The sequence below is a fragment of the Homo sapiens genome, chromosome 5 (genome assembly GCF_000001405.40).
Source record: "Homo sapiens chromosome 5, GRCh38.p14 Primary Assembly".
In the NCBI taxonomy this organism is placed as follows: domain Eukaryota; kingdom Metazoa; phylum Chordata; class Mammalia; order Primates; family Hominidae; genus Homo; species Homo sapiens.
The window spans coordinates 52779517-52804719 of record NC_000005.10 but is presented as its reverse complement, the minus strand read 5'-3'; the positions used below and the strand labels follow the sequence as shown (position 1 = coordinate 52804719).

The 25203-nt window shown below is 38.2% G+C and overlaps 2 protein-coding genes and 1 long non-coding RNA gene across 12 annotated transcripts in view, besides 3 other annotated features; 1 reads left to right on the top strand and 2 right to left on the bottom strand.

The window, feature by feature from the left end:
• The window catches only part of ITGA1 (integrin subunit alpha 1), a 171294-nt gene extending 154490 nt beyond the window's left edge, over nt 1-16804 (bottom strand). Inside the window, exon 1 of the mRNA NM_181501.2 lies at nt 16306-16804. Coding sequence (NP_852478.1) covers nt 16306-16366 — 61 coding nt within the window. The 5' untranslated portion in view covers nt 16367-16804. The remainder of the gene's footprint in view (nt 1-16305) is intronic.
• Nucleotides 676-16804, bottom strand: PELO (pelota mRNA surveillance and ribosome rescue factor). The gene is made up of 3 exons (NM_015946.5): nt 16306-16804; nt 3600-4835; nt 676-3311 (listed from the first exon to the last, which is right to left on the bottom strand). Exons 2-3 carry the CDS (start codon nt 4323-4325, stop codon nt 2880-2882), a joined length of 1158 nt encoding a protein of 385 aa, NP_057030.3. The 5' UTR covers nt 4326-4835; nt 16306-16804; the 3' UTR covers nt 676-2879.
• Nucleotides 3397-4096: an enhancer, noted in NCBI's record as "NANOG-H3K27ac-H3K4me1 hESC enhancer chr5:52096458-52097157 (GRCh37/hg19 assembly coordinates)". NCBI's record gives its function as "activates a minimal SCP1, AML or CMV promoter by ChIP-STARR-seq in primed H9 embryonic stem cells {active_cell/tissue: H9 hESC(primed)}" and the evidence as "EXISTENCE:reporter gene assay evidence [ECO:0000049][PMID:30033119]".
• PELO-AS1 (PELO antisense RNA 1) overlaps nt 3907-25203 on the top strand; it is a 127387-nt gene continuing 106090 nt past the window's right edge. For 5 of the 10 annotated variants that reach the window (NR_186446.1, NR_186450.1, NR_186451.1 and 2 more), the window contains exons 1-2: nt 4721-4915; nt 19128-19185. This is a non-coding gene — a long non-coding RNA (PELO antisense RNA 1). Of the gene's footprint in view, nt 4029-4720; nt 4916-19127; nt 19186-25203 lie in introns of those variants that run through there. The other 5 variants (NR_186449.1, NR_186447.1, NR_186453.1 and 2 more) reach the window with 2 other exon arrangements.
• Nucleotides 4097-4795: an enhancer, noted in NCBI's record as "NANOG-H3K27ac-H3K4me1 hESC enhancer chr5:52095759-52096457 (GRCh37/hg19 assembly coordinates)". NCBI's record gives its function as "activates a minimal SCP1, AML or CMV promoter by ChIP-STARR-seq in primed H9 embryonic stem cells {active_cell/tissue: H9 hESC(primed)}" and the evidence as "EXISTENCE:reporter gene assay evidence [ECO:0000049][PMID:30033119]".
• Nucleotides 16837-17116: an enhancer, noted in NCBI's record as "active region_22544". NCBI's record gives its function as "activates an Ori minimal core promoter by ATAC-STARR-seq in GM12878 lymphoblastoid cells {active_cell/tissue: GM12878}" and the evidence as "EXISTENCE:reporter gene assay evidence [ECO:0000049][PMID:35858748]".

Genomic DNA, 25203 nt, shown 5'->3' with positions numbered 1-25203 from the left:
GTACAGACCGTTTCATATGTATACTTGGTTGCTTAGGAACAAAGATAATTCCAGTTCCAGAATATATGAATTGCAGAATTAGTAACTTCTGTTAAAGATAATTGGAGGTTAAGAGAATTAGTCAGGGAAGCTGAAAAAGGAAACTAAAGTTAGAGACAGAAACTAAGTAAAGATAAGAAAAATGAGCTTTACAAAGCTACTCTAGTGGCATCTGGGAGCAGAAAAATCCAATTTGTTTCTAAGACGGTAATGAAAGTGAAATCCAAGATCAACAATCTTGTCATAAAATTAACAAGGAATTTAACATACAAATGAGGGACCAGGAGTAGCTGTCATTTGATATGTATCGTAGCTATAGCAAAATGAAATAATGTGCAAGCTTCTCACTTATTGAGTTTAGTGGCATAGGAAATCTTTGTTTGCAAGCACATGATAGGAAATGGAAATTTACAGTACATTAGAGAAGGTACATTGGAGTTATCGATAGAGTTTTTATCACATATCCAATACTTAATGAGTAGCAGTTGGAATTAGACTACTGTATATGCTTTCCAGAGATAATTATGTCTTCTAGAAAAGTCAAAAATAATTATCTGAATTTTTAATTTGCTCCTATCATTATTGACATTTTCACCTATGATCTAGTAAGAATTGTATTCTTGATAACAGAAAATGTAATTTCTTAAAAATGAGTTAAATTTTATTTAATAATTCATAGACATAAAAACAGAAATTTATAGAGGTTTTATAGACAGTTGAGTATGGCCAGTTAACTTTTTTGAAAGACCTTAATACTCAAATCTTTTTCCTGACTGGGGACCCCTGCCAGAGATTTACCAGCACAGGAAGAATAACCTATTGCCTTTGTTTATCAGATTTTATTATGCACAGGAATCATCTAGAGATGTTGGTACAGGTAGCGCCTGTCTCAGTAGGTCTACAAAAGATCCCTGAATTCTAGTTTCCAACAAGCTCTCAGGGATGCTGCTGGTTTACGGACCATACTTTTGAATAGCAAGGCCTGAATCAGTGGCTATTAGCCTTGACGCCTATTGGAATCATCTGGGTAGCTTTAAAAAAAACATTTCTAGGGATAAAACGTTATTTAACTAGTCTGAGCTGCAACCTGGACACTGAGGGTTTTAAGAGCTCTCAAGTTGAGGTGAACAGGTAGCTAAATTTAAGAACCTATGGCCTAACATGTATTGGTTATATTTATTAGACCTCATTTCAGTACTGCATAGATTATGAGAGTAAAAATGTCCAAAAATCTCCAAATCCTTACTGAAAATATAATAACAATCAGGTTTCAACTTTAAGGATCTCAGTGGCTTCATTTCTATATTCTTATTAAATTATTTAGTAACATATTTGATAGTAATTTAAAGATACTCACGGAATTATAATGAAATGACAATCTCAATTACTTTTGAATTAGGAGATAGATGTACAAAAATATACATATGTGAGTTTTAAAGTATAGGGAAGTGTCAGTTCCCAATAAGAAATAAAAAGGTTCAGACTAGTTAGGAAGTTTACAAGAAATCCCCAAGTCTGTCACACCAGGAGGAAGGCCCACAGACACAGGAAAGACCGGCGAAAGTTTAGTTAGTATCACTACTTGAAATAGGCGTCGCTGATCCAGCAGTTAAAAACTGTATCATCACTATTAGATCGTTCCTAATTATTTTGCTAAATTGAGGTTTGCAAAAGGTCAAGAAGCAATTCCATTACTGAGGCTCCTTCCTTAACTTTTAGGAATGTGCACCAAAAATAATAAAAATAATATTTTAAACTCAGAGGTATTTGCACAATTCCATAATTATAGTAAAGAGTATCAGAGTTTAAGTCAATGATAGTAAAGAGTATTGGAGTTTAAGTCAACTGCCACATACTAGTCATGTGACTTAAACTTTAGAACAGGCTTCTTCACAACTAAAATAGTCCAATAAAAATGTGCAAACCCAAATTAATGCCACATACAAATATAAAACAGAATTAAGTATAACTTTGACAAGCAAAAAAATAAATAAATAATATAGCATGTTTTGGCGCAAAGAACTAAAGTCCAGACTGGGAATGACTTCCAGCTTTGCCACTAATTAGCCACATAACAAGCAAATCACATACTTTAATCTCATTTTAAAAATAAAGATGCCTCAAGGAGATTATTTTGACAATCCCTAGCAGATCAAAGTTCTAAAAAGCTAAAAATAACTGATTTAAGTTACCCTCTAAATCAAATATGACTAATGCTAACAACAACAAACCAAAACCAAGAATTTCCTTTTAACATGATTGGTTTAACAAGCCTTTGAAGAAAAATATTTAAAACTTGTCTTCAAGTCTACTAATTGTACGGCAATCATTTAAAATAGTAAAACTATTTAAATCTAAAAAAAATGTAGTGTGTGGAGGTGGGGAGAAAAGGGATCATTAAATGCAATGCAAGAACACCAAGCAGAATTAAAATAAAGAAATAATGTAAACAGGATAAGATAGCAAAAGCTTTTTCTAAGGAAAACTGTTTCAAAGCATGCAGTGTGAAATTTTGCAATCTATCCCAAACAATATACTGCATAGGCATCGTCTTTAAATACACACATTTTCTGTTTCCAAGTACTACAGATAACTCATAATTCCTATAAAAAATTACACAATTTAATCAAGATGGTAGTACGTGGAGATTATTTCCTTTTAGTTTATTGTTTAAATACATGTCTTGCCAATCACAAAATATCTAGTGTAGCCAAAGACATAAGAAATCCCTGTATGAATCAAAAAGTGCCATTCTTGCAGCTTTCTGTCACAAGGATGCTGAGAAATGTACTGTAACAGTTTAGGAAACACAAGATTGTCTCAATTTTAAGTTTCAATCATTAATCCTCTTCAGAACTGGAATCACCCTCTTGGTCAGAAAGTTCGGGAACAGGGAAGCGGAGAATGGCAGCTACCCCAGTCAACTGGCTGAGCTGTTCCCCAGAAACGTGAAGACTAGAGAATATCCTAACGGTGCCTGCATTCTCTTTCACACTGTCCACCAGCCTCACATACCGGCTCCGTGTGGCTACATCCTGATGCCTGAAGAGCTCATCGCTGATGAGCAATGTGTCAATTGCCATGGCTTCATTGGCCTTCTCCACCTGCTTGAGTCCATAGAAAGCTCGATCCGGTTCATGCTGTAACATTTTATAGAAGTCATCCAAGGCTTTGACTTCCCCAGCAGCTTTAGTGTCTGAAAGGCGGCTAGCCACAGTAGGGTCACAAAGGGCCTCTTTCAGGGAGTACTTGTGTCCGGAGGAGGCATGTACCTAGAATCACAATTACAAAAGTTAGGCAAAATAATCTCCTAGAACACCCATTAATCAGCTCACAAAGGCTTAAAGCCAAAAGCGCTAGTAAGGCTTCATATGTTTCAGCGAAGTTTACTCCATAAATTTGCTAGACATTTAACATTCTCTTTTTATTTCATTATCTCATGAAAATCCCAGCTAAGTAAAGACTTTCTCTTCTTATTTTTCCCAGTTCTAAAACTTTAGGAGTAGTTTATACCAATCCCTCTGCCCATTCTTAATTATCCCTGGGTAAGATTGTTTTACCTGAAGAAATTTGGACCGGTTTTCCAGGAGCAGTTTGTTGTCGGTCTTCACTGCTTGTTGAAACAGGTAGTCGCAGAACTGCTCCCTCACAAATCCTGGGCTGGCCACCAGGATGCACTTTACAACATCAAAGTGTATGTGGCGCTGGATAGCCTGGACCACCTGTTCATAGAACCGCTCCAAGGCCCGGTCATGCTGAGAGCAATTGCCTTTCCTTTTCCTAGGGATGTTCACCTCCACCTTGGCCCGAGTGAGGGTCATGCTGGGAGTGACTAAGCAGATATGGGCGAGGCCTTCCTGCATGACCACAGCCGCCACATCAGCGCTCCAGGCTGGGTCACAGGCCTGCTCGATGCGCTCCAGTACCACACTATCCCACTGCTTCTTGGCCAGGGTGAACTGGCGGTTGGGCTCCAGCTCGATGGTGTGGTAAGCCCCCATCTTGACATACTCATTCTCTTGGATGTTGGTCCCCTTAACCCGCAGCTGGCAGGCTTGAGAGTCGAAGTCGATGGCCTCCACGCAGAGAGTGAGGGTAGTGCGGACCCGGTTGCTGCCCACGCTGCCCGTGGAGGACTCTGTCTGTACCTTGCGGATGGTGGAGGCGCGCAGGCTGTCGCCCACCTGCACGAGGTTGTAAGTGTGCCACATGTCCTCAGGCTCCTCGGGGACCAGGGTCACCTGGCCCGCATTGTCCTTCTCGATGTTCTTCCTCACGAGCTTCATGGCCAAGGAAGGGGCTCACTGACAGAACCAAAGGAACCAAGGAGGTCCTCACCTCCGCCCCGGGAGAGGGGATGGGAATGCAGGCCAGGAAGGGGGCGGGGCCCGGTTTCTAAGGGCACTTGCCTGGCGGGAAGGAAACACGCTTGCTTCGACTCATGCAGCCTAGGGCAGCACTTCCTCTATCCTTTCCTCTCTCAGTCTCCCGGCGCGCTGCGTCTAACAGGCTCGGGGAACACTGCAGCGAAAATCTACCCCTACACAGTTCCCGCTGGCAGCACGCAACAGCGGGCTGACGAAATGAAGGCGCATGCGCAGCCCCCGTCCCGCGACCCGACGCACGTCTCCCGTCCCCAAAGGAGAGGCGGGGCCGCAGTTCGCGCGTGCGCAGGCGCACTAAGCTGTGAGGCGCTCCGGACGAATGAACTCCCTCAAGAAGGTGCACAGAGTGGTGGCGAGTCCTTTATTTTAATGCCAAACTTCAACTTCCTAAGTTTTCTCTTCCATCCCTGTCTGTGAAGAATCCGGGGAGTGTGTGAGTGCAAATACTAGTTTTACCTGCCTGCGGCTGCCACTGCAACGCTTCCCTCTGGGTAAATCCAATTTCAAAGCTTAGCAGTAAAAGTAGCTCTCAGAAGTGCAGATTTGGCCCCAACGGCCCAAACTATGCTCGTTTTTGCTCTTGCCTTATCCGCACTCGGACGCTACAAGCCTGTTGGAGCTGGTATTTAGAAGCGGTTTCTGAGAACTACTGGTCACGTTCTGTCTGGGCTCCCAGCAACGTGTCCAGCTGTTTTCTGCGCCTAGTTACCGTGTCTGCACGATCTGATTCACCCAGATGTTAAAGCGCTGGTCCCAAGAGAGAAGAAACTATGTGTGGAATTTACCCCTGGGTGGACCTCTCAGTTGCTTGACCTGATGTCCTGGGAATCCTAGGCTCCAAAGTTGGCAGCCTCAGCTTTCCGCAGCCCAGTAGCCTGTGAAATGTTTAGGTTGGGGGTTGGGTCGCAAGAGCTTAGGGCCAGATCTTCACTGCCAAAGCTAAGCTAAAAGCCGAGGCTATGGGAAGTGGGGAAAAACTATTAACTAGGACTGACCCTGATTGAATAGCTACATAATTTAAAGAAAATCCTTAAGTTACTTAGCATTCTTTATTAGGAAGTGGAAATGGAGAAGTGGGATTGCCTCTTTAAGAGACCGATGAATAGAAAAAACAAAAGAATCTAAAAGTTTCTTGAGAGCTTAGATGGAGTGGAGGGCAGAGAAGTCCTGCACACATAGCTTCTCACTGTCTTTTCTGTCTTTCTCTGTGTGGATTGGAAAGGGGAACTAACCAGCCTGAACAGATGAAACAGGGATGAAAGGAAGGAATCTGAGTTTGGCATAGGCGTGTGGAAGGAAAATAAATCTCGGATCCCCAAACTCATTAAGCCAAAGGGAAAAGTTAAGCTGGGAACTGGGTCACGCAAAACTGCCTTGCCTCTTGGTTTTTAAATGAGATGGCTACCAGATGAAAAGCTACACACCTCGCTCATATTTTGCCCACAAGGAAATTCTCAGTGAGCGCCAAGATCTTTACCATAAAGTGTTTCTATGAAAATTTACCATGGCAATGTAAATAGATAGCTTCTGTTTTCAGGTACAGTCACCCCTCTGCCCTCCTGACACAAATGCATATCTGATTGTTCCCCTGCCCCATTTGTCTATGTTATCTTACGTAAAAATGCAGATTCAGATTGACTAAGCCAGACAGAGGCATGAATGACTATTTTCCCCCTGCTACCCTCTCACATGAAAACTGTATTTCTCAGTATCCCACCCTTTCCCCTTTAAATTTGGAGCCCTCAAAATCATCTTCCCAGAAAGGCATAGACCTGTCTTCCCCGCGCACGTCCTTAATTTTGGCAAATAAACGTCCTAAAATGATTGAGACTTGTCTCAACATTTTTCTCAACTGACAGGCTTCACAATTTAAACTTAAGTGTCATTATCTTCCTAAGAGATTATCAGGGGACGGAAAGGTCCCCTCCAAGGGGAAAGTCCAAATAAGAACCACTACTTATTAATATTTGTGGCCTCTTTTCTCTTTGTTTCTCGCTCTCTATGTCTCCCCTTACTTCCTCCTTCTTCCCACCTTCCTATCATACTGAGTACCCTCAAGAAGTTCCTAATTCACATTGCCTTCTTCCAATTCCAGGAGAACCCAGCAACTTTTCACTAAGCAAAGAACTAATCACACTCAAGTGTGAAGGTGATTTGCCTATCCAAAGGACACTGTATTTTAAAAAAAGTATCTTGTTAACTTAAAATTCCTAATTGGTAGGGTGAAAGTGTGCTTGTGTGTGTATTTGTGAGAGAGAAAGAGAGAGAGAATGAGGAGATAATTTTGAACTGGGGCTTTGAAGTGCTCCTTGATCATCTTTCTAAGTACAATTTATCTTTCCCATAGTCTGCCAAAGATTAAAAGCCACAGAATCACAGTGGTAAGCACACAGTGGGATCTTAACAAAAGGTTTTTATTGAAGAGCTATCACGTATTGAATGTTTATCAAGTTCTTTCCTATGCTCTAATTCTCCCCTGTAAGGTAAATATTTGTTATCCTAATTTTATAGAAGAAAATCAACTATGGGGAAGTTAAGAAATGTTTTCAAGATCACATGACTAGCATTGAAATTCAGGCCTGCATAACTCCATACCCTCTCTTTCTACTACCACCATCCTATATTATGAATGTTTGTAATCATCTCCTTCACTGCAAATTATGTGCTATTATCCACTGTCACTTCCCCTCAACTGTCACCTTTACCAGCTAAACAAAAACTCACAGCTTGGGAACCAACCTAGAGGATTTGAAAGGCACTAGTCCCTTTCCTGCTCTTTTATCACCTCTTAAAATTATTATACTTTTCTCTTCTACATAGTTTTTTTTTTTCCTTCTGTCCAGCCTAGGTCATCATCATACTCTTAGAGAAAGATCTAATGTTCTACTTTAGAAAAATATACATATATTTATCTGTACATTAGAAACCTGTGAAAAACCCTTATTGACTCTTAAATCCATGGTTAAAAAAATTTTTTTTTAAGTTATGAGGCAAACCACTTTGGGCCATTTTAAAAAATATCAGTGTGCCTCCATAATTCAGTATACTATAAAATCTTTCATAGAATTACTGTTGTATGTGAAACAACTGCAATAGTTGGGAACTTTTTTTTTTCCTTAGTAATTTAAGCCTGTAGTTGACTATTAGATGTTTTCACCCAGATTTTGTTTATGGCTTAGTATTTCTAGACCAATCATTATATTTTTATTTTGATTCATTTTGGATTCCCATTCCCTATGAATTAACGTCTACAATCCCAATTTGCACTGGCCTTACAAATTTACTTCCCACTTTTCCCCTCAGGGCACCCTATATTCCACCTTGAAAGTAACCTTTGTTCCCTACATATGCTAGGAACTTTCTCGTTTGCTACCTTAACTCATACTAACTTCTCTGTTTAAAATGTCACTTCCTTTCATCCCTGCTTCCTTTAGTGCTGCCTATCTTTAAAGTCCAGCTTAAATGTTATCTCAAACTTGAAACCATGTAAACTTGAATCCATGTTAATTTAAACATGTATCTTTTTTGTTGAACTCTGGAAGGATTTATCTTTATACTCCTTTGTCCTTTTAAAGGTCCTTTGCACATAGTAGGCACTCATATATTAATGATAAGCTAGGTGAGTCAAATGTAAAGTATGGCAGCTATTTTAACATTATTACAGACATTTCAAGACATTTCTTAAGGCACTTACTTATATTGTTATTGACTGTATTTCACTTAATAATGGTAGTTCAGAAACTGCTGTAGTTATATATTTATTTTCATTTTTTTCCAAATGAGCAAAGTATTGAGAAAAATACCAGGGCTTTTAGCTCTTTTGCTTTAAATACTAATTTTATACTTATGTATTGGCTGTTTAAAATAGAAAACTTTATATCAGTAACTTTATATCAGTATAAATCTTTATATCAGTAACTTTAATTATATCTATTTTCCCTACAATGTCTTATTTATATTAATCTCTCCAGAAGGGGAAAAAAGTATTGTTACCTCCAAAAGTTTTTAATTTGTTGCTCTTGAGACACTTCCAGTGTCTCAAGAAGAGAACTGGGCTAGAAGTCAAGCATCCTGGATTGTAGCTCTTACTCTTCAATTGTTTTTACTGTAACTTTTGGCAGTACTCAGTCTCTCTGGAACCCAATTTATTTCACTGAAGAATTGAGGGAATTGAATTCAATAATTAAATTTCTAACTAAAAATTATGCTGCAGTAATATTTTTTAAGTGTTTAAACAACACCTATAATCTCATCCTAACATATTTGTTTTCAATTTTGCGTGCTATCTTTCAAATCTGATTTTTCTAAGACCCATTTCAGAGGTGAAAGACTGATTCAAAGTTTCTTGTTTGTGGACCAAGAATTGGCAGACCTCAAATATGGTCTTTCCTGGATGGATTCTACCAACTTGAAATAAGTCCCAGACCGCAATAAAGCTAATTATTTTTCATTCTAAATGATAAATAAGATTATTTGTCCTGCTCTCTCATTTGACCATCCTTATGAGGTCCTAGTGATATTATGATACTTGATATTAATAAATTATAGAGCTCTAAAAATGCCTGGCTTGAAGCTAGAAAACTGGATCAGACAAAACAAGGGACAAGAGCTCATTTTAACATGATCATAATTATTCAGCCTTGGAAAAATAACTGGTTTGGTAGAGTTGACTGATGGATAATCTTTGGGGTACATTTATTTATGTTATTTATGTTATTCAGCTCTACTGAATAAAATGGTTCATGGACCTCATTGGTGAGTTGAATTACTATCTTTCCTATTATAATAATATAAAAGAAATGGTTTGTATGACATGAAATGGAATTATGGGCTCCTGAAAGATGGAAATCTTGTTTTAATACCCTCTGCTTAGCTTGTGACCCTTAAACAGTCGGGGCTGTATAAATTTTCTTGTTTTCATCTTGTATTTTATTTTGGAAGGCTTACTTTCCTGCAACACAAACCTAATCTTTTTGTTATTCCTTATAAAGCACCTTGGGAGCCTCTCCCACCATTGTGTCTTTCCATGTCTACTACCTCTTCCACCAGTAAAGGCAGAGACTTACTACCTTTTATTTGTCTTTGTTCTCCTGGAACACAGCATAACAAGTGGCACATACTCATATTTTTAGTATGCAAAAATTAATGGTTATTAATTTTTCTTTAATTCAGAGTTTTTAACTTGTCTGTAACTGACATTCTAAAATTAGGAAATCACATTCTGTTTTATAATGTTACTAAAAACTTAAAAAGAAGGTTACTCTTAAGGTAAGTTTGTATAAGCCTATTTCAATATTTGAGATAGCCGTGCTTAGGTAAGAAAATGGTAATTTAAAATACATCTTCCCCAGGAAAAGTTCTTAAAATATTTTAGAATAACACATAATGGCAATTAGTTTTATTATACATGGTTTGGAAAGTGAACTTTACAAAATAAGAAGCCAGAGCTCCAATTATGAATATCTAGTGATAAACGCAATTGTTTATTTAGAGAGAATGTGCAAACCTCAGATTGTGCAAAGGTTCCCATGTGACCTCCACCAGCAAAGCTAAGTGGATGACTGGGAGGATTAGTTAGCTAATATAGACAAAAGGGTAAAAGGGAAAGTGGTTTTTTTTGTTTGTTTTATTTGTTTTTTTTTTTAAGGAACTTGTACTCACTCACTATCTAAATTTCTCATGATGGAAAGTGCTTACTTGCAGTTGTCACAAAATAATACAAAACCTCCTACCAAATAAACAAAATCCTATGAACAGAAGTGTGTGTGTGTGTGTGTGTGTGTGTGTGTGTGTGTATTTCTATTTGCATGTATTCTTATACGGCATAAGATCATTTCACCAAAAATATTATAAGTAAAATGTGTTACACAGATATTTTTAAGGATTGGCCAGTACCCATGTATTTCTAGACTTTAGTATTTGGTAAAATAAAAGTCTAATTAATAAAATAATTTTGAAAGTACATTTAATTTGTAGTAAGGATATATGATTTGTAACAAAATATATAAACCATCTTAACTATTGATGTTTTAAAGTGACTTAGGTGCTATATTTAAATTTAAGAATTTGCATTTATTTTAGGAGATCTCATATAATTCATACAAAAAGAGTATGTGTATCCACTCCTTTGCATATTTGAATTACAATGATTTCTCATTTCAGATCTCTTACTTATCTTGTTAATAGGGATCTCCTGTTTGGATAAAATTGATTTTTTTTAACACATAAAGTGAATTCCTAACACCAACCAGCATATGCATTTTAATTTCCTTTTAAAACTTAGTTGACTTTTTTATCTTCCTTTTAAATCATAGGAAAGTTTTGATTAAAATTAGTCTTCTTCCTATATACACAACCCTGGAGCTTACCACCAACATGACAAAAAGTTAAGAGTTTGCCAAAGCTAGAGTCATTAATCCTGTGCAACTGGAACATTATATGATTACTTTATTGTCACCTTTCTCCTGAAGCTCTCTTCTAAAGATAGAGCATTTGGAGGGAGCTCTGTTTTTGGGATCTGGTGAGGCTGTTGGTGCCAGAGGAGCAATTATCCCCTAAATCAGATATAAACTTGGCACTTGAAGAGAACTGAGAGGAACAATGTTATATCTCTGTATCTAGATGGGGTTCACATACTAGCCTCTTCAAAATCTTATGACACAATTTTTAAGTGTCCAAACAAATAGAAAAGTACCATGGTAAAAAGTACCATACACTGTATATTATTGATTGTAATTTTCAGACGCACATTTTCCCAATTTTGACATCTCTGAAACTAGGAACTATCTAACAATCTAGCAATTATAATTGGATTGGGAGTGGCTTGTCTTTTTTAGTGGTACATAAAATAATGGTGCATCTTTCAACTGATGGTGTCTTCCATTCCATTATTTATAAATTTGGATAGACAGAAATATTTCAGGCAGAGGTATAATAAAATAAGGCAGAGGTATATAATAAAGGGACAATCTGATCCCTTAAGTATTTTCTGAGTTTGTCAATAGTCAATTCTTTTGCGATTCATTCAATTAAAAAGTGCCTATTATTTCTAGGTGTTATGGTTAAAGATCCTACCCTCACAGAGCATACAGCAAGCTGGAAAGACAGGCAATTAGATAGTTAATTATAATACCGTGGTGCATTATATAATAGAAGCAAAGGTGCTGGGATACACATGTCCTAAGGTAGGGTCCAATCTACTTCAGGGTATCTCTTGGAAATGACGTTTATTCAGGGATTGAGATCAGTAGCAGTGGGAGTAACTACTTATGCAAAGTCCCCAAGGAGACTTTAGAGTAGCTGGCATAATAAAGGAGCTGAAAGAAGCTCAATAATCTTGAAGATAGAAATATATGCAGTCATTTGCATCTCTTGATACTCTACTGTACTTGCTTTGAGGGCGAATACAATTCTCCAGTCACAGACTGCTCTGAATAGGCAATCTATTCTGACTTTAGCACTGTGGCAACAGTTTCAAAATATCTTTCATCTCAGTTTCTTAACATGAATTTGAGTACACTATTTTGTATTTCACACAACAGAAGAGAAGTGTAGGTAAAGAATAGCATTTTAGTCCCCAACTTTTCTAAATATATTTTAAACATGAGCTACTTTATTCTACTAAAATATGTTAAGATGTGGAAATTCAGCAAGTTCTAAATCTAGTGGGAAGTTTATTGGGTTGGAAGTGGAGGAACATGTTAGAGGAGCATCTATCTACTGAAGTCAGAACATCAGTGATAAGCTGTGGCCCAAGAGCTCATGCTTCAAAATAGCTGGGTAAGTGTTATGACAGGAGGGAAGAGAAATAGTTAAACTAGTATAGCATATATATGTGTCTCATGGTTACTCTCATTGCCTGTTTACTAAACAAACAAAAATCCCGTGAATTCATTGCTGCCTTTACAAACATCACAATGAGTAAGACAATTTTCACCATCTTCAGCAATTCCTGACAATACATTGTCTGCCATTGGGAGTCATTCTTTGTTTTGAATAAGTGGCTGACTTCCTCCCCATATTCAGCCATCTCCCATCTCCTCACTGGATTTCATTTTGAATAGGAAATCTTGCCTGTGAAAAGAAGACCCTTGCTTCTAGGCCAACCAAAATGTTTCTAGGGAAGAGAGACATATAGTTTAATTAGGGCTAATTCTATATTTATATTCTTAATAACGAGAAATAGTAGTCTTACTTGAGTTACACTTAATGCTGTACACCTAAAAATCATGGAAATAAAAGATTGACTTGTATCATTAATTAGGTCTTTATCCAAGTATTTTAGACAACTATGTTTGGATTTCACATTTAGAGGAGTGAGCAAGAGAGAATGAACTTATCTTTAGGCAGCCAATATAGCATATTATTTTAGAGCATTTAATTTGAGGTCAGAGATATGAATTGAGTAGATTTGTCATTAGTTCTTCAACTTTGGACAAATGAAATTAACTTCTTAATACTATATTTTGATTTCCTCATCTCTAAAATATTGATAATAGTTATAAAGTTTTAATTTTTTCTTTTCTTTTTTTCAAGGCTAATCAACAAGCTGAGGGAGTGAAAAAAGAACAAAGAAATCTGTGACTGCTTGTGATCAATTAGTAAACTTAATTTTTTAGATTAAAATGAAATAATACATGCAAAGCCCTTGGCACAGTGCCTTGCACATAATACATTTCGGGGTTAAGTTGTGCTAGCTATTCTGTTATTGATTGTCTTGCCCTTTGTTCTCTGGAAGGTTGGATCTTGCCATTTGGGGATGGCCAATGGGAAGGCTGAGCAAGACATCAGAGGGTGGGAGGAAAGGAGGTATATTTATTTTCCTTACTCCTTCTCTGCTGGGCTTCAATTTTGTCACTAGCTGCATTCCTTTTTATGACCACAACTCCAGTCTAATGGCCACCCTCCCATAACTAGAGTTCATAATCAAACTAACACTGCCACCTCCTCAGGCCTAGGAATGGTCATGGTTTTTCTTCTCACCTTGCTTCAGGTTCTTTTTTCCCTACTGTTGCTTGCGCTAGATGCTCCACCCTCTTTTCTTGTTCCTTTAAGGCCTCTCTAAACTGTCACTTTATGAAACTGTCTTCAGTTAAATCCTTTATATGTGACATCAGTTTATGCTGAGACTTTGACATACATAAAATAACAATCCTTTGGACATAAGGACATCTTTTTGATGAATCATTTTAGTAAACGTTGTAAGGAGCTAATATAAGACAGTCTAAATCAAATAGGAAGTTTATTGGGATGCTGGTGGCTTGTTGTTCTGATGTAAACCCAGTTTGGAAGGCTGTAGAGAGTTTATTTAGATGTCAGAGGGTGGTAGGATGGAAAGGTGGAATTCTTTTCTCGATGTATAAAACAAGGTCATATCTTCAGTGGCAAAATGAACATGAGGATTATGGAGAAAGTAAAGAAAAGTGATTGGCTATAATGGACAGTTTATGCTTATGGGTTGTGGTAGGCAGAATAATGGTCTCCCAAAGATATCCATGACCTAATGCCTGGAACCTGTGAATATGTTATCTTAGATGGTAAAAGGGACTTGGAAGATGTAATTAAATTAAAGATCTTGAGATGAGGAGATTATTCTGGTAGGCACATTGTAATTACAAGGATCCTTAGGAAGGTAGTAGGGTCAGAGTCTGAGAAGGAGATGTGATGATAAAGCAGAGTCATGGGGGAAGATCTGAAGATTCTACCCTGCTCGGTTGAAGATGGAGAAAGGGGCCACAGGCCAAGAATGCAGGTGGTGGCCAGAGGCTGGTGAAAACAGGGAAACTGATTTTCCCCTAGAACCTCCAGAAGAAATGCAGCCCTGGTGACATCTTGATTCTAGCCCAGTGATACTTCTGACCTACAGAACTGTACAATAGTAAATTTATGTTGTTTTAAGCTGGTGATCTATGGCAAGTTGTTACAACAGCAATAAGAAACTGACATAGGAGTAGTAGGAGATAGAGAGAGGGTGTTGGATTAGGGCAGTCAGTTGAGAATTTTGGATTTTATCTTAAAGGCAACAAAGAACCACCAAAGATTTTTGACTAAAAACAGATATAGTAAAAATGATGTATTAGGAGGGTAGACTGGAAGTTGGGTTCAAATTGAAGACAGAAAGATAAGCTCTACAGTAGTGTGCATGGATAAGTATGGTGATGAGTCCCCAGGTTACAAACGGACTCTGAATTGATGAGAAGTTTCCAAATCTGAAAGAGATTGCTAAAGAAGAGCCTACAGAATATAATGACTGATGGGAAAGCAGTCCAATTTCAGATCCCTCATGTGTTGCGAAATGGGCATAAATATAGTGCACACAAGGTTTCTAAATATTTTAAGTCTCTTCCTGGATTCACCAATGTATATTTCACCAACATATATATGAAATTGTAACTTGTTAAACTTCTCTGTTACTTCAAGTTTCACTCTTGTCTTTTTAGAGGATACGCAAACCTCATTTCATCATTTCTACTCTAGAGACTGCTTATTTGGTAGAATGAAAAAGTACAACTTGGATAGTAAACTACTGTATTCAGATTTTGCACAAAAACAACAAAATACAATCTAAAAAAATTTGAGTTGGAGAAGAATCATAGGTCAAATATGTGTAAAAAGTAGTGGCAGTAGCTGGTAAGTTAAACCACTCACCGGCTATAATGCTGTTCAGCAGTTACCACTGTTTGGATTATTGGACATTTCCTGAGTAGTGGGAAATGTTTGGATGAAAAGCCAGTAGCTAATTATTAACTCTCTTTACATTACCTCCCTTCTGAAAAAAGCTCTGCTTGCTGATAATCAACTTCTAAATCATCTTCATAAAACTTAACAATGCTTGGCCATCTAAGGCAGGTCTAAACTAGCTGGCTCTACCCTGTTTTTAGTGGTAAAAATGCTAAATTAACTAGTACTAATAACCATGCCAGCAGTAAAAACACTGAACAATTGAATATCAATGATATGTTAAAGCCAGCTGTTAATTAACCCATTAATAAGGTGATTTTCTTTCACACAGAGATTCTATCGATACACTTTCCCCCCACCTTCTTCCATTTTTCACCATTTCAACTTTCCCCCACCCCAATCAGTAACTGGTAAAAAAGATCTGACCATGAGTTCATTATTGGGAAAATCTTACAAAATGCTATATTTCAAGCTTTTTCTAAATTGGATACAACTTTGCATTTCCACTATGTTTTTAAGTCCCCTCCTTAAAAATACACATTTATGTACAAATAACAATACTATATTTTGCATCTTAAAAGTAGACTGCCCTGTGATATTTACAGAGAAAATGTTCACCATTCCTTTCTACGTTTCAAAATATCCCTCCTCTTGGGTGCTGACATAGAAACATCATTTTGGAACAAGTGGCAGTTTCGTCTTGCATCCCTGCCTTTTCTTGTTCTGCATGGGAAAAAAGCCTAAATAGTAGACAGCAAGAAAATTCAATAATGTCCACTCTGGAACAACCCGAGGGTAGGAATTTTGCATATGTATCAGGCGCCCTATAAGCATCACCCTCCCATCCCATGCCATAAAAAAGGGTGGAGGGGAGGAAATATTCAGCAAAGTCCTAATATACAATGTGTATTGTAAAAACAACTTTAATTTTAAAAGTGAATTCTACCTTCTAAGGTTTTCAGTGCTGCCTCACTCCTACTCCTAGGGTGAAGGACTTTGGAGAGACACGAAAACTAATTCATATCAAAACCAGAACGCGAAACTCCTGCCTGCCCCGTAGCCTGGCCTGAGTACCTGGAATGCCCGAAAGTGGATGGGCGCTCTCTCTTCCTATCTGGCCCATGGCTCTGAGGACCTCCCTCCCCGCTCCAAGCCCCAAGCCCGCGAGCAGGAGATGCTCAGAGAAAAGCGAGTCGCTCACCAGTGAGGAGCCAGCAGCAGGCGACAGCGACCCCTGGGCGGGCGCGGGGCCGAGGGGCCATGGCCGGAGCAGCCTCAGCGCCAGGGGGCCGCGCTGGTTCGCAGGGCAGGACCGGGCGCGGGAGCTGCGCTCTCTGGCTGGGCCACTTATCCCGCTGCCGCGGTTCCCAGTCCTCTGCCCCAGTGGCAGCGGCGCCCAGGAGCGGGAGAGGAGTGATTTCCTGTGTTTTCGTCGAATTCCTCTAAATGCGCTCCACGCTTTTCACATCCCAGACGGATTGCCACATCGCCCGCCCCTTCGCGCTCTTGGTCTCTGAAATCTCACTGGCAGCTTCCCAGGCTCTGTCCGAGACATGGACAAATAAAGCCAGCTTCGCGGGTCCGTGTTTAGGCTAAAGTCCACGGGCTGTAGAAGCAAACCTTAAAGGGACATCTGCCTTTCATTGAGAGGGTGATCTCGTTCTCCGGGCCAAATCCCCTAAGGTGGTAGGAAGGCGGGTAAGGGCTGGACCTTCGGGAGGGTGTTGCCAGCCCAGTGGCTCCGCCTTCACACCCCTTACTTCTCCCGGCCCGGGCAGGGAGGGCGCTTTGACAGTGCCTGGGCGCCCTTAACGGGAGGCAGCTTTCCCGGGTCCATTGCGCAGAGGGATTAGGCCGTCTGTGAAAATGCGAGGATCTGGAATCCCCCCTTCCATCCCCTGCGGACACTTGAAATTCACCGTGAAGTCGTTTTGCACGAAAGGGGGCGTCCCCACCACCCCGACAGGCTCCACTGAGGGCTTTGCTTTCGCTTATGGGGGGGTGGGGGGGTTGCTTCGTTTATGGTAATTCGTGGTTAAAGGGTGGTTGCAGATAAGCTTTTCTTTGAGATAACTAGGATAAGGGGAGAAAAGGAGAAGCAAGACGGAGGAAAAACAGTAAGAGGGAGAGCGAGAAGGGAAGAGAGGAAGAAAAGCAGCCTCCTTGGAAATGGAATGTGTGTGGGCTATTTTGTTTAAGTGAATTAGGATGTTTGTACGCTGGTAATTGAATCTAATAAAGAACTCGGGGCACTACTTTATTTTTTTCTTGCTTGAAACTTTCACGAGTGAAAATGCATTAAGAGTCCAGAAGTGCTTAGGAACTTGCAATGCTTCCCTTTCCTGGTGAGTTGAACAACCTCTCTGAGTCAAAAGCCATATTCACCCTAGCTTCAACCAATGCTGGCTATTTTCAAAATAGCTGTGTCTTAGCGGTTTTGAGAATTTCAAAGACAGAAAGAATAAGTGGATTTGTGTTTAGAGGAATCTGAGGGAAACAGTTCAATTCAATTCTTCAACTCAACAACTAATTGAGCATCTCTAGCAGAACTAGGGCTAGGCAGGACAAGAGTGCCACCCAAAGGAGGGTTCGTTGAGCAGAACGCAACACAGGTAGCACAGAACAGGTAACACGAGGGACAGGAAGGAAGAAGCCCACAGGGTTCACTGGATACATTGCCAGATAGAGGATCACAGCAACTAAAAGCTGGAGAAGACAAAAGTTGAAGAAGTTTAAGGAGCGTCAAAAATGGGGTGGGCAGACCCAAGGAGGTTGAAGGCCATCAGATCTCAGTATGTTGACCCATTAATCAAGAAATTCCTTTTCTATTATGTATCTGAACTGATTCACTATTTAGTAAATACATTAAAAATCTCGTTCTCCCGTTTTTAGTTTTTATAATGTCATTTCTCAGTTCTGTCTTCAAATTTACACAAATGAGTCTCTAGAAAAATTGTATTATGTTGGGTCACAGTTCAATCCCATTGGACTTTACTTAAGTTCCTTTGTTTGTGTTCAATGCTCTCATACCCTGCCAAGGAATTCATTTCCTGTGTATATCTCGTTTCCCTGTTGGTAGTATCAGTTATGTCTTATGCCTCTCAGTATGACTCTCTGTGCTTTGAACAGTAACCAATAGATATTGATTAATTCGTAGACATTTAAAAATCATAGTAAGTACTTTCCCAATGATATTTCTCCAAATTGCTTAGTTTTCAAAAACATATAATAGTGTGTCTATATATACACAATCATGTGTATGTATGTATGTGTACATATATATGTACAGCATATACATACATATGCAAATACATATATGGCATTTTAGCAAATTGCAATATATTTCATTAGAAAAAACAAAAAGAAATTGTAAAATATTGAAATAAAGTAGGGTTAACATATAATATGTTCAAGTTTACAATTACTGGGAAATTTACCTTTCTTCTGGGGGCTAATATATAATTTCAATTTTAATATTTTTATTTCCTCTAGGACTTACAAATTATTGGTGATAACCATCACTAACAGTGATATTGTTACAATTAATTTTCACAAGTTACAAATTTTATGTTTACATGTTTACATATTTATGAATCTTTTATATGTCTAGTCAATACAAATGTAGAGACTGAGAGATAACTATGGTTAGAGAATTAATTTTAGAATCAGTGCTTATTTTCTGAACTTCAATAAACCCAAATACAAATAAATGTCAAGCCGGTTATTTTCTTAACCAATTTTATTCTGACTGACAGAAAGACATGTCATTGAGTAAAGATTTAGAGAAGACAGAAACTTGCCCAGAGTCACAAACTAGTTATTGATATGAGACACTTGATGACAAATGTTTCAGCTCTAGACTTTATACTACATACTTTTCTATTTTAAATGAGACTTGATTTGATCAGATCTCTTTAAGGGTTTGGAAGCATGAGTAGGAGCATGAACCTTATTGTGAACTGCACACGCTTCTTATGAGAATCTAATGCCTGATGATCTGTCACTGTCTCCCATCATCCCCAGATGAAAACGTCTAGTTGCAGGAAAACAGGCTGAGGGCTCCCACTGATTCTACATTATGGTGAGTTTTATAATTACTTCATTATATATTATAACATAATTATAATGGGAATAAAGTGCACAATGAATGTAATGTGTTTGAATCATCTTGAAACCGTTTCCCCTACCCCTGGTCTGTGGAAAAAATGCCTTCTATGAAACCGGTCTCTCTGCCAAAACGGTTGGGGATGGCTGCACTGAAAGATTAGAGACTGAACTGATTAAGAATTTGGAAAGTGGATGTCTATGAAATGAGGCAAGAGTAATTGAGATTATTAACCAATAATCTCAAAAAGAAAAACATATACTTAAAACCAAAGTATTCTTCTTGGAGTTAATCTAATATACTGAGTAAAGTAACTAGAGTAAGTAAGGTTCTGGAGTTACGCTGCTTGGACTCAAGTCCTGGAACCACAATATAGTAGCTGTGTGATTTGGGAAACGTCATCAAGTTTATCTAAGCCTCAGTTTTCTCAAATGTAAAGTGGGAATGAAAATACTGTACTACTTCTGGTCTGAGAATTGCTGTGGGGATTAAATGAACCGAGCCTCTGAGCATTTAGCACAATGCCTGGATTAAAGTAAGTGCTCGGTTAGTATGAATCATTCTTCTCTGTAAATAGAAGAATTGGTATTAAACAGACCATGTAAACAGGGCAGGCTCTGCGTGTGGTAGACCCTGTAGGAAGTGGTGAAATTTGATGGCCATCAGAAGAGGAACTTTAATGTCCGCCTAAAAATATCTCCATCAACTCCTATTATTATTTCTGGAATCCTCGCTTTAAAAATATTTACCTTGGATTAGGGAATTATCTTGAAGATAGTTCTATAAAATGGGTATGCATGAAGACATCAGAACCCATTATAACGTTCACATGAATTTGCTTTTCAAATTGGCTGGCCGTCAGAGGTTTTTTTTTTTTTTTTTTTTTTTTAATTTTTTTACAAGAGAAGAACATTCCGCTAAGAGGTTGGGGGAATAGAAGAGGTTCTAGAACTCCGTGTCTAATGTATGCCAGGGTTCTTTAGCAGTAAGATTATAGGTTCTCAAAGCTACAGGATAAATAAGGTACTCCCACCTGGGTAGTGGGGGTGGTGCTGATTTTACTCAAAAATAAATAATTTAAAAATTGTTGTTTGCTAAAATAACAGATTTTTATAAGAAATATTTTTAAATCATGTTTTCTTTTTAAAAGTCAAATATGAGATTTTAAATACATTTTAAGGTAGCATCAAAGTGTGGTTTTACCCCAACCCCATCCCCTCCACTCTCAGGTGTTAGGGGTAGGTGGAAGTGTACAGAACTGCTTCCGTTTTTACAAAGATTTTATGAAGATTTGGATTTTTAAGTTTTAGTATGTAAGCACTTAGGGGAATATACCCCAAAACAGTGGGGCTAACTCACAAAGCTAACTCATATGGAAAACTTAGTCTAGTTCAATAATTTTTAATTTTCTGGCATATATTGGGCTCCAGGGCTATGTTCTGCAGAGGCAAAAATGGATACAACAGTTGTTATTCCACTGCAAACCTGCTGTTCATTAATTTCTTTCACTTGTAACTAGGAAGAGAAAATAAGTAGTTTTGTGCTCAATTGTAACATTGGCATATTTCATTTTAAGCCTATTAAATTAAACAGTCTAGTGAAATTATCCTAATAGTTGTTGTTGATATACCTTGAGAACCTATGATTGCTTCCTCTCTGACCAAAATAAAGTCACAGTGATATGGAACTTAAACTTCACCATGAGCCAACCATTTGTTTTTTGTTATTACGTAATATTCCTGTGTGTTTTTTCACTTAAAATATAAAATAGGTGTTTCTCCCTCCCTATTTCCTGAACAAGCCTGTGCCAGAAACCTTGTCCAAAGACATTTGGGCAACTGGTACTTAAGAAAAAACAAAAAAACAAAATACTTGACTTCAGAATCCTGGTGAGGAACAGTTCTCAACACTATAGGAAACTTCCTTGGACTTACTGGCAGACTTCAACATGAGTGACACACCAGGGCTGCAGCAGGGGAGGGTGGACCAGGGTGGTGCCCTGGCAGGAATGTTCAATTCGTGGCATTCTATGACTCAGAATAACAACCACTGATGAGCAGTAACATTTTAGCTGCATTGCTGGGTCCCTTAATTTGAAATATGACTTAATTATATTTAAGCTGTTATGCAATTCTAGGATCATTTGAACAGGTTGATTTAATTATTTTCTTTTAACCAATTTGTAAAAAGTTAAATAAAGTAAGTGGGCTCTAAAATCCCAGAATTACAACAAAAAATGATTAATTAGTATTTCAAACCAAGGAGACTGGCATTTCTTGTGGTAGGACTGGGTCACTAAACACATGTGTGGGGAAATACCATTTGTCTTTAATACAAAATAAATGCATCAAGGGAAGGGAGTCTATTATTTGGCTCTGAGATAATAACACTTACATAGCTTATTTTACAATAATGTGACCATTTTTTATCTTCTCTCCTAGATCATAATCTATACAATGATAGTAATTACTAATGTTTGTTCTCTGCAGCATCTGTGCTCATGTAATGCACTGAAACACTTACAAAGTTACTTCTCTGCAGGAGGAAGTCTCTTAGATCCTGGGGAATCAGAGATGTTGAAGTGCTAGGCCCTAACCTCAGGAATATTCACAGGCTACGTAGAGACAACATACATAGAATGATCTAATTGCATCTGATCCCTATAATAGAGAATAAATAAAGTCAAGGCTTTCAAATAGATGATGGCACTGAAATTTAACCTTGCAGGGAGTGGGCAGGGGATTTTATAGGTAGAGAAAAAGGTAATGGGCATTCTATGCAGAGGTAACATGAAAATAGATGAAGAGACTGGAATAGAAGTTAAGAAAAGTGAGTGAAGCTGAGACCAGATTGGAAAGGATCTTAGAAAGATACCAGGGAATTTGGGCTTCTTATAAGCACAGAATATTTTCACAGTTCTTATTGACATATACAAACAAGTTTTTTATTCTGTTTTTGTTTTTCTCTCTTATTTGTTTTCTGAGGTGGCTTGATTTTTATCTTAGTTTTGTAGTAGAGGGGATGAAATATATCATATGCAAGAAGTATACTGTGAAACTTTTATACAATGAAATTTAATGTAATGCCTTCTGTAAATAAATGTATTATTATTTATTATAAATAAAATTATTTGCATTACCAGAATAAAGCTGTAAAAGTGGACATTTGTCTCTGGTGAGAAAGCATAGGCTAGAAGAATAATCCTTGGTGATTCTTTTAAAATTGGAAGAAGATAAAAATGAAGCAACTCGTAATGGTACCCAAAAAAGCTTTAAACACTTTAATTGAACACCATATGATAGATATTTAAACATTAGTAAATGTATGCCATCAATATTGGCCATTTTAAGTTTTTTAGGGGAAGGCAAAGTAAATTACTGGGATGGAGGGGCCATTAAATCATTATCATCCAGGTCTTTGTTTTGTGGGGTGGGGACTGCTTTTAAAGGCCCTGCGTGGTTGGAGGAAAGCTCAGGACTCTTCATGAAAAATACCCATGACTAGCTGATTGCTCCCCAGAAAAGGAAAGTGTAGGCAGCCAAGGGGATAGGGGCAGATTGGGAGTTAAAAACCACTGAAGACACCAGGGTAAAGCAAGAATGAAGAGTCAAATGCGAATTGAAGATGAAGCACTGTAGAGCAAGGTTTGGACCGGAAGGTTTGGAAAGTTCAAAATTAAGGCTGTAAATATTAGGATCTGCTCAGGTCTTTGTTTTTGTTTTGTTTTTTCCTCCAATGTGGGCCCAGATATGCCACAGAGCAACAAGGGCAAGAGTTTTAAGACTCTACCGTGAAATTAGGGCTAAATATATCTGAGCTATAAAAAGTAATAGGATAGGTAATTGTAATATTAGCAAGGCTAATAGTAAAATGAGAATAATATTAATTAAACAATTACATGATTATACAGAAGGGAAATATCTCAAGGTCAGAAAAAGAAGACGTATTAAAAAGGGAACTTTTTTAAGACTACATTTTTCTCTCAAGCTCCTAATATTAATAGATGATTTAGTGTTCTCCCTCCTCTTTTTTTTTCTGGAATTGATTAAAAACAAAATTAATTCCTGCTGAGAAGAAAAGAAAAATGGAGGATTACATGGCCAAAGAGTGAGTTTTCTTTTCTCCAGGAGCTACAGAATGTTACTGAACACTTTGGGATGAAAAAGAGTCTCATAGGGATGTAAGAATGAAGAGAAATTGGTGGATCCTGTAATGGGGGATCTGGACGGAGAGTGACTGCAGAGAAGGGTGGAAAGAGCATCCAAACATGGCCCAAACCATACTTAAAGCGGCAGCATCATTTGGTAGCACCTGGTAGCTGTTCGGGTGCCCATTCAGTGCCTTCTTGCTACTCATGGGCTATCAGTTGCTATTTGAAAAAGCAAAATATATCATTTATTTTAAGACCCAGTAAACTAAAGTCCGCCATCAGCCATGGCCAGCTGTTGTGTTGACCTGGCTATTACTTGAGTCAATTCACATCTGACCATCCCTGAAGATAACATAACTCTCAACAGTGTACAGCACTTAAAACACCTTAAGAGTGGGCCCTAGACACCTGGCAAAGTGATTGTGATAAAGAGAGGAAAGTAACTTCTCCCTCCCAACCTACCTATGTTTGAAGGAGACTGACTGGAGCCAGACTCAGTCTTCATTTGACTTGGGACAGAATGAAAGCATCTGCTGTACATTTATAAAAAATACATTGGATTGGCCAGGCGTGGTGGCCCATGCCTATAATCCCAGCACTTTGGGAGGCCGAGGCAGGTGGATCACGAGGCCAGGAGATCGAGACCATCCTGACTAACACGGTGAAACCCTGTCTGTACTAGAAATACAAAAAATTAGCCGGGCATGGTGGCAGGCGCCTGTAGTCCCAGCTACTTGGGAGGTTGAGGCAGGAGAATGGTGTGAACCCGAGAGGCAGAGCTTGCAGTGAGCTTAGATGGCGCCACTGCACTCCAGCCTGGGTGACAGAGCAAGACTCCGCCTCAAAAAAAAAAAAATGGATTTAATTAGTCTAGGAATGATTATTAGTGCTTAGCAAAGTTGGGTATTAAAATGCTTAGAAAAAAGGCCTGGACAGTTACGAACAATGTGTACCTGGCATTTGACTACATCATAACTGGATATTTATATTAATGTTTTACAAGATCATATAATTTATTTTTACTATGACCCACACCTCTCATAAAAATACAAACCCAGGTCCAGGTGTGGTGTCTCACCCTGTAATCCAAGCACTTTGGGAGGTTGAGGCTGGAGGATCGTTTGAACCAGGAATTTGATACCAGCCTAGGCAACGTAGAGGGACCTCATCTCTACAAAATTTTTTTTAAAAAAACTAGCCAGATGTGGTGACATACACCTGTAGTCTTAGCTACTCAGGAGGCTGAAACCAGAGGATTGCTTGAATCCACGGGTTAGAAGTTACAGTAAGGTATGATCGCACCACTGCCCTCTAGCCTGGGTGATAGGGCGAGTCCCCATCGCTAAAAAACAACAACAAAAAAAGCAAAACAAAAAACTCAAATAGTATAAAATATTTAAATATAAATTCAGTCTAACTAGAGTAGCAATATTTAGATTTTCCTTATTATATCCACAATACTTAGTTTTGAGATTGTTTTGTAGTTTATATCACCAGGAGTTAGGGGAAATGAATTAATTTTCTACTTTATGTTAATCAAAGTCAAGTCTTATGAATAAAAATGATACTTTAATTTCATTAAAATATTTTAATGAAAAACTTGTCTTGTATGGACTATAATAATAGGCATATTTGTGCAATATTAAAACAAAGGTATAGAAATATTTCTGGAATTGTGGAGGAATAACCTCCAAAATTTTTTTCCTCCGTAAAAGCAATGAGAATATTGGCAAAAATGGTCAAAATCAACTTTTTCAGAACTCTGTAATTAACCAAAGACTTGAAGAAATTAACAAAGAAATCCAGCAAAACAGCCAAATCTTGAAAAACAGAAAACTCTGTGA

What these genes read in the sequence shown, in the direction of transcription:
- PELO (NM_015946.5), bottom strand. Translation starts at nt 4,325, where the DNA reads ATGAAGCTCGTGAGGAAGAACATCGAGAAGGACAATGCGGGCCAGGTG. An exon ending in ACCGGTCCAAATTTCTTCAG is followed by an intron (nt 3,312 to 3,599) that starts GTAAAACAATCT and finishes TTGTGATTCTAG; the next exon opens with GTACATGCCTCCTCCGGACA.